The sequence below is a fragment of the Homo sapiens genome, chromosome 20 (genome assembly GCF_000001405.40).
Source record: "Homo sapiens chromosome 20, GRCh38.p14 Primary Assembly".
NCBI lineage: Eukaryota > Metazoa > Chordata > Mammalia > Primates > Hominidae > Homo > Homo sapiens.
In genome coordinates, this window is record NC_000020.11 from 49,363,576 (window position 1) to 49,376,988 (window position 13,413).

The 13,413-nt window shown below is 46.3% G+C and overlaps 1 protein-coding gene and 1 long non-coding RNA gene across 3 annotated transcripts in view, besides 2 other annotated features; one reads left to right on the forward strand and one right to left on the reverse strand.

Annotated features, from left to right (window-relative positions):
• Positions 1–13,413, forward strand: part of LOC105372649 (uncharacterized) — a 108,687-nt gene that overhangs the window by 33,242 nt on the left and 62,032 nt on the right. The gene's annotated exons all lie outside the window — the stretch shown is intronic.
• The window catches only part of KCNB1 (potassium voltage-gated channel subfamily B member 1), a 119,486-nt gene continuing 106,374 nt past the window's right edge, over positions 302–13,413 (reverse strand). For both annotated transcript variants that reach the window (XM_011528799.3, NM_004975.4), the window contains one exon: positions 302–11,417. In XM_011528799.3, the coding sequence (XP_011527101.1) occupies positions 9,408–11,417 (2,010 nt within the window). In that variant the 3' untranslated portion in view covers positions 302–9,407. The remainder of the gene's footprint in view (positions 11,418–13,413) is intronic.
• Positions 5,046–5,599: an enhancer, noted in NCBI's record as "NANOG hESC enhancer chr20:47985158-47985711 (GRCh37/hg19 assembly coordinates)". NCBI's record gives its function as "activates a minimal SCP1, AML or CMV promoter by ChIP-STARR-seq in naive H9 embryonic stem cells {active_cell/tissue: H9 hESC(naive)}" and the evidence as "EXISTENCE:reporter gene assay evidence [ECO:0000049][PMID:30033119]".
• Positions 10,101–10,363: a silencer, noted in NCBI's record as "fragment chr20:47990213-47990475 (GRCh37/hg19 assembly coordinates)". NCBI's record gives its function as "represses an EF-1alpha promoter that drives an FKBP-Casp9 reporter gene in an ReSE screen in K562 erythroleukemia cells {active_cell/tissue: K562}" and the evidence as "EXISTENCE:reporter gene assay evidence [ECO:0000049][PMID:32094911]".

Genomic DNA, 13,413 nt, shown 5'->3' on the forward strand with positions numbered 1-13,413 from the left:
AGTAGTCATTTGAGCTTATGCCTTCTATTGTGAGACAGTTTTTAATGAGATGCCCAGGCATAGTTGACATGAGAACTAAATGACCAGAGTTGGAACTTTGATTCATGAATATCATGTAGGATGGGTTACCACTGGGTTGCATAGTGGGGGTGAAAAGCCAGTTATATTTTCATGTCCTCCCTCTTCTGGGGGGAAGAGAGAAAGCTGATGCCGCCTGGAGACAGGATTCCTGATTCAAGTCCCCTTACAGCGCTTCCCATCTCGCCTCCCTGTGCCCTCCAAAAAATAAACTCCTCCAGGCTTGTTTTTTCCATACCTTTTATTGAACTCTGCAGACTTCATTAAGGGACCATTTGCTTAGAAATTCTTAAACATTTGGACATATTTTACAAGACAAGACAGCAGCTGGAGGTCACACAAAGATCACAATTTCATCTCACCACATGCATAAAAAGACACTGGGATTTGTGTGTGTGTGTGTGTGTGTGTGTGTGCGTGTGTGTTGCGCACATGCGCAATGCTTATTTTCACCTTTACAGGAAGGACTAGAGACATTAACTGACGAGAGATGAATAGGACCCACGAATGCACCCCCGAGAAAAGAGTGGCTGAGGACATTGGTCATTTATGGCTAATGTGATTGGCTTGGCCCCTGTCAAGGGTGAGGTGATCAGAATGGCTTTACTGGCAGAAAAGCCCCAACCTCACACGACGGGTTCCTGGGAGAGACAGGGTCTTAGCTGATGGGATCTGGGGGCATACTATCATGACGGCTTTGGGGCTCAGAAAAAAAGATCTTCGGCTCTAAAAGCTGGAGGGCAGGCTGGCCTTAATATCCAGCTGGACTCCCATGGCTCAGGGAATGCAATCCAGTTTCCAGATGTTGGCTCCTATGTTTCTGCCCCAGGAAGTCCCAGACCAAAGGAAGTCCCAACTTCGAACCCTTGGCTTAGTCCATTGGAAAACCACTTGGTGGTCCCCCCCATGGGTCGTGTGTGAGCTAAAATAGAACATGAGGCTGAGAAATGCAGGGTAGGGGAAGAGGAAGGAGGGCAGAGCTGCTCTGTGGGCCCCCAGGAAGTGTGGCTCTGAGAGGGCTGTGGCCCTTATCAGCTTGGGGCCTACAAGCATCAAATTGAGATGTCATCTTGAGTCAAAGAAAGATGACCTTGATGGGGCAGTTATGGGTTTCAGTGGGAGAGGGGCTCCTCATTTTTCTTCTCTTCACAGTTAGGTAGGGATTCATTAACTCCCCCATTCACTCACACATTCACGCATCCAGTCATCCACTCAGAGGCCAACCAGTCACACATTCACTCACTCACAAAAACACAGGTTGGATGACCATCATGTGCCAGCGGCATAGGTTGGGGATAACCCTGAGTTCCTGGTGCAGAAAATAAGATTCTCAGTTTTTGACCTTGGATTGAGAAGGACCTATGAAATCAAGATAGACCTGGAGAATCCTCCCTGTCCCCACCCACTCAGGCACACTCAGCTCAACCAAGAGGGAGGCCCAAACCCCAGTGAAGCCCAAGGGGCAGAGCCAAGCTGTGGATATGTCAGAGTTTCTTGGGCATCTTCTCTGCTGCCTGCCTCTTTCCAATCTTGGTTCAGATCAGGGAAGCAGGAAGTATGGGAAGATCCCTGCATGGCCCCTTGAGGGCATCCTAATGGGACGGAATTGGGAGTTTCTTATATTTTCATGAAATATCCTATTTTTGTCTCCTTGTGTTGTTGCAACTTGAGTGATTCTGCAGGGCAGAGCCTCCAGTGAGGAGTTGGGAGGAATCTTGAAAACTGGTTTTTATTTTATTTTGGTTTCAGAGGAAGGCGGCTGCTCATTCTACCCATCCAAACATATCATCCTGCCCAACCTCATACTAAAACAACCAAAGACAAACCAGTCTTCGGTTCACCCTGAGGTTGAAGTCTCACTTTCTCCCAATCCACCATACATAAACCCTCTCTTGTCAAATGCTTTCCTTAGAGAATGCAGTATGCAGGATGATTTGGGATGGAGGCCACAGCTGCAGGAGAGTGGCATTCTGCTTGGAGGCAGCCAAGAGCCTGGTTTTGCTGTGAAACTGGATTAAAAGCTGCCTTTCTCTTTTGACCCTTCTGGATTTTTTTCATTGACGGGGACTTTCAAAGGTCTTGAGTGGGGTCTCTTATTTGATTTACCAAAAAAACAAGCCCTTTTGGAATGGAGCCATTTGCTATTGCCTGGGAAGTTGTTCATTGTGGGGATGGCTAGTGGGGAACAGATATCATTGCATCTTTTATACAGAAAGCCCCAGGCTCATGAGGGCACAGGAGCTGGGCGGAGGGGCTGAAGCACCATAAGACAGCCAGCCAGGGATGGGGGACAGCGTGGATTGCTCCTTGGCTGGCCTGGGGAAGGGTAGCATGAGTCTCATCCCAATGTGGTGCCTGGTAGGCCACTGGGGATGGGTTGGATTGGTGACTGACAGTCATTAAAATGTTCCAAGACGGAGCCGGAAGGAAGCAGACTTGTCTCTTGGACACCCCCTCTGAGAGCTCCAAAGCCCAGAAGTTGCATTCCTGCTAATTGTGCTGCATGCCTTTGCCTCAGTGGCTTGAGCTTATATCCAGAGTGTTGAAACCACCTACACACACACACACACACACACACACACACACACACACACACACTCCAAGAAACAAAGAGGAATTTCTGTGGTTGTTCAGCCCAGTTTCCATGCAATGCTAGGGCCCCTCTGCAATGCCCATTTTTTACACCATCTAGCCAGCCTCTCTTTAAACACCTGTGATATAAGGGAGCTCACTGTCCACCATGGCATTGAGCTCCATGGTCAGACAACCCAGCCTGTTAGGAGGGCTTCCTTAATTTGAGCTGCAATTGACCCCATCCCTTTCATACAATAGAAATTTTCGGAGAACTTGCATACAGCCAGCTGGCAGCTAAGTTTTTTTCTTCAGGTGCACTGCCCCACTCCACCCCATCCTGGCCAGCCTTTAGGAGATCTTTTCAGGATCTTTGGAGGGAGGAACAGAGAATTAGGTTTATAAGTGAAGATGAGGGTTCCCTCGATTAACAGAGCCCTACCCAAATTCAAGTTGGCATTTGGGGTAGTTCAGGAGAAATTCTAGGTTAAGATAAAATCAGGGAGAGTGGATGGAAATGCAAACTATATAACCTCTTTCTTGATGAAAACAGCAACAGCCATAGGCAACAGTGTTTGCTTATCTGGGCATCAAACCCAGGAAACTACTGGCAGACTTTTTTTTGTTTTGTTTTTTTGCTTTTGTGCAGAGGAAAAAAAAATCTTGTCTGTTTTATTTGACTCTGGTTCAAACCAGACTATCAGAGGTTTTCGGGGTGGGAGAACTCTGATCAGGGTCATAGTCCAGAATAATAAAATTCATATTTGAGTTGGCTTCCTCTTGGGAGTTATCTGATGGGATGGCTCACTGCCATCTGAGGGTCCCAGTTTGGCTCAAATTTCTGATTCTAGGCAGAGCCCCAAGCCCTGCAGCTGACAGTGAGGTGGGTGGTATACCAAAACCTAAACGAATGCAAGTTGGAGATTATCTGGGCTTTCTTCATCTTCCTGCATGAGTTGACGGATGGAGAATCACTTTCTGCTGAAGATCCTGCCTAGTGAGATGTCCTCCGCCCACCCAGGACTGAAAACTGCCTCTGGAATTAATTATCAGGACAGTCCAAAAACTCCCCCAGGCGTGGATAGGTGGAAGCTGGAAAACTGCCCCTGTCCTTGCCACACACCTCCTGCTCTATGGAGCCAGGCAGCTGGCAAGGGAAGGGGAGATGAGCTAGCAGATTCGGGGACATCTCTTCTCAGGGTTTGGCTGCAAGGGTGTCTGGCCACTGTTTTTTGGTGAAGCTGTTAGAAATGGATTGAAATGGACTGGGTGCAGTGGTGGCTCACACCTGTAATCCTAGCACTGGGAGGCCGAGGCAGGCAGATCACCTGAGGTCAGGAGTTCAAGACCAGCCTGGCCAACATGGAGAAACTCTGCCTCTACTAAAAATACAAAAATTAGCTGGGCGTGATGGTGCGCTCTTGTAATCCCAGTTACTCAGGAGGCTGAGACATGAGAATCACTTGAACCTGGGTGGAGGAGGTTGCAGTGAGCCGAGATTGCGCCATTGCACTGCAGCCTGGGCAACAGAGCAAGACTTTGTCTCAAAATAATAATAACAAAAAAATAAATAAATAAACAGATCGAAACAAGGAACTGATAAACAAGTTGGTGAGATCGGAGGCCCAGCATGTTCTTGTGAGGTTCACGAGAACCTGAAAAACCTCTGACCTTCAGCTCTGATTGATGTTACAGGCCGACAGGGTGCTGGACATGTGGGAGCAGCCCAGCCAGGAGGGACTCACATGTGTTCTGGATCTCAGAAATGCCAGTGATGAGTTTGCTTGCATGAGATTTTTGGTTCCAAGATCTCTGGGGATGAGAAAACTCAGTCCCTTCAGATCCCTAAAGGGGTGTGGGATATAAGTGAAACCAGCCCACATCCCATCCTGATTTTGAGGGCCATCTGTAGCTCTGCTTCCCTGGGTCTCATTCCTGCATTCATGCCCTGGATTCTTAAGAACAACGAATGGGAGAAACACACAGAAATGAATGAGGAAAGTCACAGCATTGACAGAGTCCAGGCCTAGTGTCAAGAAATGCCTACACAAGGAAGTCAAACCCCAAAGTCTTTCCCCACCCTCAAGAAATCAGAATCAAAAGGAAGAAAACCCAAACAGCCCAAGGGACAATGGTAGGAACTGCAAAAGACCAGAAAACATCAGCTACGATAATGACCAACAATGAAACTCCTAAGATATTGTTCTGTATTACAAAAGAAGAAATTAGACTCAATTGCCCTATTATAAATTTGCTAAAAATACATATATATATATATTTTATCTGAACAGAAAAATAGACTACTCTGAGATGCGTGGACATTCTATGACATAGTCGCGCATCAGATACTTCTAGAGCCAGAAAAATGGCAACAGAAAATGCAGAGGTAACTCTTATTTCTGGGTGTAGCCAGGACTGGTTTGGGTTGCCTGGGCTGAGTGACATGAAAGCATTTGGATGCTGTCCTATAAGCAGTGATAGGTGAGGAAACATCAGCTCGGGGCTGGAAGCTTTCCATTGTCCTGCCGGGGTCTCAGGGGAGCCCCTTCTCCCTCCTGCCCACTCTGCAGCTACAGAAAAAGTCCTTTCCCAAAGAAGCATGTCCGGAGGCTTTTTGCCTTGCTCTCTTTTGATTCAAAGTTACTTGAATTGAGGCTGAAAAAAAGCCTGGGGTATTGTTACTTGAGATTAGTTGGTAGAGAAATAAGAATAGGAGAGAGATTAGCGATAGAGACCTGGCTTTAGTGGCTCTTGTCCGTGGTGAATTTTAAATATCCCCTTGTCCATGGAACTAGACACTCCAGCTGGGACTGGAGCAAGACAGAAATATACAATAGTTACAAATATCAACAATACATTACAGTTTTACAGAAGAGAATACTGTTTTGTTTTTCTCCTTAGAAACATGGATCTTATTAGGAGAAAGGGCAGAGACGAGGCTACAGTTACCAAGACACATGGAGAAGCTGGAAGTCAGTTTGAAAAAGTTTGTATCACCAGCAGTTTTCAGGGGCAAGCTGGGTGGGTTAAAAGAAATGGCCTCCTCAGGATTTTGTTGTTTTTCCTTCTTACTCTTCTTCCTTCTTGATCCCCAGTCCTTTGGAGAAAGGGACTTCACGGGAACAAATGTTCTCTCCTCCTTTTTTCTTTCCCCTTGAAGTGTGCTTAAGATAGAATTCCTAAAGAAGGCACTGAGAAATCTACTGCACCAAAGTCCTGTTGGTTTCTTTTACCCAAAGATAAAAAGGTGAATATACTGTCTCCTCCAAAGCTTCCCCACCTCTCTCACCGCCGGTGGCAGACTCTCCCCCGTGTGATTGGGACACATGGCTACCTGGTCCCTAGCCCTTTCAGATAATTGTGGAAGTTGGAATGCAAGTTCAGCTGGGTTCTTGATGAGTTTCAGTGAATTTGCCAAACTGACCAGCATCCATTCGCCGCGTCCAGCCCCTAGTTTGCTTGTTTGGGTTGACTTGTTTCTTTCTGCTCTCATTGGTTCAGGAATGAATGGGAAATGGACCACCAAGTTAAAGCAGGATTTGCCTTCAGACCATTGCTTTCCTCTTCTCTTCTCTATCAAGACCTTTCTATCGAGTGAACTTCTCAGTGAAGACTCTTAAGTAGATTTCCCAGTGCATGTATATTCACGTACATAGGTACAGGTTGGGTGTATACATATTAAAATTTGGATATGTTCTTTTTTAGCGGGTGGATGGGCTGGGAAAACTTATAATACTCTCTTTCGAATTGAGCACAGAATAAAAGCTATACTCCCCCAGTACATACACACACAAGTAAAAGAAAAAAAAACCCAATCAAACCCAAACAAAATACTTTCTAAGCATAGTATATGCTGAATTTCAATTATTCTGTTTCTATAAGAACTCTATAGGACTCTGGCTATGAAGCCTGAAAAGGTAGGTTCTTAATGATACTTCTGAATTCGTCCTTCAAAAGTGACTCAATAAAATGCTACTTTACGGTTGGACAAAATACACAAGGAAGGAAGGGCCAGGTCCTACATGACCACAGAAGGCAGAAAGGGCCTTTGGTTACAAGGAGAGTTGCACCAATTGGTTTTCGTTTTTTTTAAAAAAAAAAAAAAACAAATCATTTTCAATCTGTACAGTTCTCATCTGCTTCAACCAACAAATGAAATGCCTCGATTGGAAGAAGGGGTGGTAAGTTCCTTCTCAATATATATGGCTATATTGAAACATGTTCACTTTCCTGATATGTAAAATAGACTATATTATTATTATTATTATTTTTTACAGATAGCATCAGCTCTAAAAATATCTGAATTGGAAATCACAACTATTTACTTTTATCAAAAAGCATTTGTTTTTTTCCCTGAATTTTCACATTTGTGCTGATGGTGGACATTAATGGTGATGAAAACAAAGAAGAGACATGTGAGATGGTCGGCGGAGAACTGTCCCACAGTCATTCCTCAAGAGGCCCCCAGCTCAGACTGCGTGTTCAGCAAAGTGTTTTGGGAGTGCTGCTTCCTCTGCCTGGCACGGGATGACCTCACACTCTCCCTGCCCCTAAGTCCCTTTGCAGTTGCTGCGCGAATACTCTGAAGATACCTAGGAAGAGTGACGTTCTCGTTTTCTCTGTTAATGCGGCAAAGAACAGGACTGCACCCTCTTGGGGGGATCTACAGTCTCTGGAGATGCTGAGAAGTGTTATGAATTGGGTTTGTATACAGCAGAGAAGACATATTTTTAAGGGTGGTGGAATGATCCCATCTCATCATATGTGTGGCAGGTGGCTCAACCTTATGCCTTATGTATGAAGAGCAGGCAGAACAGCTCCATGATATTTGTGTACTGAGAGGTGGATCATGCCATTGTACTAACAGGCAGACCAGCAACAGATGATATTGAGACTTAAGACTAGGTGAACCAATACCATATCTTTCTTCCACTGGGAAGACATATGCCTGTTACTGTATTGAGGATAGACAGAACTACACTATTGTACTTGGGACATCATCCATCAACATTACATTAAGAGAACAACATTGTTCCATTGTACTACAGACAGGCAGACCAATAACATGTCATCTTTACTGACAGGTGAGCCAACACTATAGCATTGTATTCATCAGTGGTTCAACCTAATGCCACTGTACTGAGGAATGGCCAACAACACCATGCTGTTGGACTAAAAGCAGGCAGGACAATGCCAGGTCATCAAACGAGGACAGGAAAACCAACACCAAGAAATACACCAGAACCACTCAGGATGCACACAAATACTTATTGCTTTTGTCTGTACTGGCTGCATCGATGGCTGCAGGAAGGAGAGTTGAGCTTTTAGTACAGACAGTGACACTGAAAAACCAATAGCTGGTTGACAAGAAAGAGAACAGAGTAAAACACCCAATGTCCAACTGTCACTGTGTCCTTTTGAGATGTGCATGTCTCCTGTATACTTGACTTCATGAGAGGCCCCACCCAAGGGGCAAGAACCCCTCCTGACCCATGAGGGTTAAGGGAAGGTTTCAGAGGGGCAGGGAAGGAGCCCACAGACTTTGATATGGCAGACAGTAATACCAGCACAATATTACCCATGCTGGCCAGAAATGGGCAGGTAGCAACAATCCAACTACAGTCCCAACAATTGGGCTATGGGAAATAGTGCTTATTTTAAAGTGCAAGATGTTGACACTGTCCCTGGCAGAACCTATTTTTGAAAAACATAAAGTGCTTTTTATTTTAACTTTTTTTTTTTTAACTTGAAAACCACAGAAAACAAAACAGAATTTCTATTATAGTAGGTACTTTCCTTGCTGCAGCAGGAATTATTCAGTCTGAACTGGGCATTTCAATGCGTGGTATTTTTTTCCTTTCATTTTTGCAAGTAAAAAAATCATATTTTTATGCTGTTCTTCAGTAACACACAGTCTCTTTGAATAAACTATTTCTTTTGCATATTTGACACTTGCATATCTTTTGAGTCTACACTAGTGATGTAAAGAAAGCGTGTTCCTCCTCCAACCCTAAAACAATGCTCTGAGTTCATGCTGTTGGCTGGGTGCCCACCTTCTGAACCCTTCCCAGATTGCCAGGGGGCAATTAGAATTGAGTACAAGTGGTGCAACTCACCCTGATGGTATCTCAAAATAAAATCTCAGGTACTATGAAATACCGAAGTCAATGAAGACATTTGAGTAAGGGTTTTGCGCTGGGATCGTGGCTTATGGCGCAGAGACTTCCCCATGACCAATCATTCCCTGTAGCTGTCTAACAGTGGAATCCATCCAGGAGGTGATGGACAGGTGTTCCTAGGGGTGGCTGGGCAACATTCAATACCAAATTGGTCAACCCACTCTTTCAACACCAGCCGCTTGTTCCAGCATCCTTCTCTAGCTGAAGCCAGGAGGACTGTCAATGTTGCCCTCCGAGGCTGAGATGGAAAGCCACGAGAGAATGGGGAGTATGTGGCCTCGGTCCTGTCTAAAGTGGTGGTAGTGGTGGCTGTGAGTTCCACTCATGTCATCTCCCAAAGAGGGCTATAGAGTTGTTACAAGGAGGTGCTGTGCCCTATGGCTTGGCCAACTTCATGCTGATGGACCTGTCATGGCTCTCAAGGTCTTAGGGAGCCTTCTCTGGAGTCTCTCTTCTCTCTGAGGGCTTTACAGGGCCTTTCTGTTCCAGAGTTCATGCAGAAAAGCTCTGTGGCAGGTAAGCTGAACAGCTCTCCTCTTTGGACCTCACCCAAAAGTCTCTCCTCCAAGGCAGGGCAGTTCAGATGCTCTGATCTCGTGTGCTTCCATGGGCTCCTCCCCCTGGCAACACACGGACGTCAGGGGAGATGTGGTTCTCAAGTTTGCACTTTTCCTGACCACTGGGGCCTTTTCCAGTCAATGCTTCTGTGGAGTAAATACAGTTCTGCCTTAAGAACTTAGGGGAGGTGGGTAAAGGGGAGCTTTCAAAGTGGTTTTTCTCCGATCTTGTCCCCGTGCTGAACTTCGGACTGGTGCTCCCAGGGAGGCTTTTGGGGGGGCTGGAGTCCACACTGTAGAGCAGCTGTCCCTCATCATCTGTGTCTGCGTCAATGTACTGGTGGACACCCGCCTCAAAGTTGAACGCTATTGCTGTGTGTTTCTCAGGAGACCGGGGGGGTGTCTTAGCACTTGCTGTGGTGTAGATGGAGGACTCTGGGCTCAGCACAGCCTTGTCCAAAAGCGTGGCACACTCCAGTCCAGCGACAGCAGCCGCAGCACTCCCCCGGTTCCTGAGAGGGTCATGGTACATCCCTAGAACGGGGAGGAGTGGACTGGGGTCACCCTCCATGAAGTTGACTTTAAGTGCTCGGAGCTTCAAAGGGTTGTTAGTTTTCATGGAACTCTTGGGGCTCTCGATGAAGAAACTAGAGTGCTGGCTGGCATCAGGGCTGGGGTTGGCCTCCACAAACCTACCACCACTGGCACCCAGAGCTCCCCGCCAGCCCACTTCTGGGGCTGTGCTGCCCCCAGTCTTGCTGGGGAGTGATGTCAAAGGGCTGTGGGAGAATCTGGTGGCCTCAGGGAAGTCTGTGGCACAGCTAATGAAACTATCAATGCTTGACATACTTCGCATGTCAATGACCCCTTCTGTGCGAGTGGGCAGAGGGGCTACGGGGCTGGGGATACTCTCCATTTCAAGTTCTTCCTTTGGTTTGCTCTGTGCTGCTGACTCCTTGGTATTGAGGATGGGTTGGGATTGGGTCTTGGCCATCTTATTGTACATGTCTTCCAACTGCTGAACGTTCAGGTGCTGAGGACTAGAAGACGATCTGGCTTTTTCAGGGGATCCCTGTTCCTTGGTTTCAAAGGACTTACTTGAGCTGGTTTCAGACAGTGTCCTCTTTGTCCATTTCCATTTGTTAGGAGACAAGTGGTTATCTTGTACTTTGTCTTTCTTACCCATATTCTCCCCATTTTTCTCAACCACAATGTCCATCATCTCAATGCTCCGGGCAAAAGCATCCTTCATGTTCATGGATACGATGCTGCCATTCCTCTTGGCTCTCTCCAGAGCCTCTCGCCGTTTGATTGCTTTCTCCTGTCTCTTCTGCTCCTTATAGAACTCAGAGAAGTTATTGACGATGATGGGGATGGGAAGAGCAATCACCAGGACTCCTGCAATGCAGCAGAGTCCCCCAACAATTTTCCCCAGGAGAGTCTTGGGGTAGATGTCTCCATACCCAACAGTAGTCATGGTGATGGTGGCCCACCAGAAAGAGGCTGGGATGCTTTTGAACTTGGTGTCGTCCTCATCCTTCTCAGCAAAGAAGACAAGGCTGGAGAAGATCATAATGCCCATGGCAAGGAAGAGGATGAGCAAGCCCAACTCATTGTAGCTCCTCCGCAAAGTGAAGCCCAGAGACTGGAGGCCAGTGGAGTGGCGTGCAAGCTTAAGGATGCGGAGAATTCGCATGATGCGGAAGATCTGGACCACGCGGCGGACATTCTGGAATTGCAGCACGCTCTTGTTGGATTCGGTGAGGAAAATGGTGACATAGTATGGCAGAATGGCCAACAAGTCAATGGCATTGAGTGGGCCCTTGAAGAACTTCCACTTCTTGGGCGAGGAGAGGAACCTCAGCAGGTACTCCATGGTGAACCATGCGATGCACACGGCCTCCACGTGGGCCAGCTGGGGGTTGTCTGTGGACTGGCCGAACTCATCGAGGCTCTGTAGCTCAGGCAGCGTGTTGAGGGACAGGGCAATGGTGGAGAGGACGATGAACATGATGGAAATTATGGCAAGGATCTGTGAGGAGAAGAGAGTGGGATTTAGTTATCAACCACCCCACAGGATGATCATCATAATATCCTGGATCTACAGGGCACTCCTCAATGTTCAAGAGCATTTTCACATTTCACTAGTCATTTAATGAGCCAAAAAGAGAATTTGTTGTAATCCATTTATTGTCTAGATGTGGAAACCAAGGCCCAGAGAAATGAAATGTTTTAAAGCTATCAGCAAGCCCAGGGTTCAAGCATACTTTTTCAGATAGTAACCATTTTATAGGCCCTGAAACCCTGCATTGTCTGTCACAACGACTCGACTCTGCAGCTGTAGCATAAAACCAACCTTGGATAATACATACATGAATGGGCATAGCTGTGTTTCAATAAAACTTTATTTACAAAAATAGGCAGTGGACTGAATTTGGCCTGTGAACCATGATTTGCTGACTTCTGATCTAGACCAGTGGCTCACACTGGATGGGGAACTACCTTCACAGAGATGATACTAATGATAATAACTATCCTTGATTGAGTGTTCATTGTGTGCTAGGCACTTTCCATGAAATAGCTCATTTCATTCTTATAATAACCCCGTTCAGTGCTATTAGCTCCATTGAACAGATGCGGACACTTGGGTTTCCACAGCTAGTAAGTGGAAGAGCCAGCATTTTAACCCAGGTCTGTGTGACCCAAGAACATGAGCTCTTAAGGCTGTGTTAAAAATCAGATTTGGCTGGGTATGGTGCCTCATGTCTGTAATCCCAGCACTTTGGGAGACCTAGGCAGGAGGATCGTTTGAGGCCAGGAGTTCGAGTCTAGCCTGGGCAACATAGTGAGACTCTGTCTCTATAGAAGAACAAAGGGGAAAAAAATCAGATGAAAGCTAACCTTTTGCTAGAAAAATGCCTAGACACTCAAGATTTTGCAGGTAATTCCTAGGGAGGCACAGACATTCTGGGCCCATGTTAACTCCTGATTGGAACTATGTGCTTTTGGGGGCTAAAGACCTTGGCTTAACTACCTTTGAGTCCCCTGGATCAAGAAGAGAGCTTGGCCCAGAGAAAGGGCTCAATGGATATATGTTGAAATTAATGGAATCTAGGCCAGTAGGCCAGTCTACAGACTATGCAGAAAAGCAAACAGATGTAATCAATTGCTCTGAGGGTCTTTTTTTTTTTTTTCAAAAATACAAATCCAATCACATTACTCCTTTGTTTAATAAATCTCCAGGGCTCCTCATGAAAAAATCCAAACCCCTAAACCTGTCTATTGGGTCCCCTATACCTGTCTTGCTTTTGTAGATTTTCCCTTTCTCTTCCTCTGCCCCTGCTAAGTGGGAAGGGGGGGGCCTGGTCACCATGGTTGTATCATTTGATCCTGCCTGCCAATGATCAGAGCATGAAGTTTGGATAAAAAAATCCAAGTTAAGCCAATCCGTACACTGGGGCTTAGCCAGCCTACCTTTGAGAAATTTGAGTTCAGGAACCCAGGCGGTGAGTGGGTTACGGGAGGGTAAGTCCCTGAATTAAATGTTAAGTAGAATCTAGGCTTGAATCAGCTTCATGATAAGCCCAACCCTCAAGCAACTGTCTCCCAAATGTAGGGGACAGAGATGCCATAAAAACATCAGAGAAAGCTGAGCCTTAGCCTAGACATGGTGGCTTACATTTGTAATCCCAACACTTTGGGAGGCTAAGGTGGGGGGATTGCTTGAGCCCAGGAGTTCGAGACCAGCCTGGGCAACACAGTGAGACCCCGTCTCTACAAAAAATAAAAAAATCTGCTGGGTGTATTGGCACATGTCTATAGTCCCAGCTACTTGGAAGGCTGAGGCGGGAGAATCTCTTGAGCCCAAGGAGGTTGAGGCTGTGGTGAGCCATGACCACACCACTGCACTCCAGCCTGGGTGACAGAGAGAGAAACCCTGTCTTGAAAGAAAACAAAAGAAAAGAAAAAGGAAAAAAAAAAAAGAAACGAAATTAGCCGGGCATAGTGGCGGCACCTGTATTCCCAGC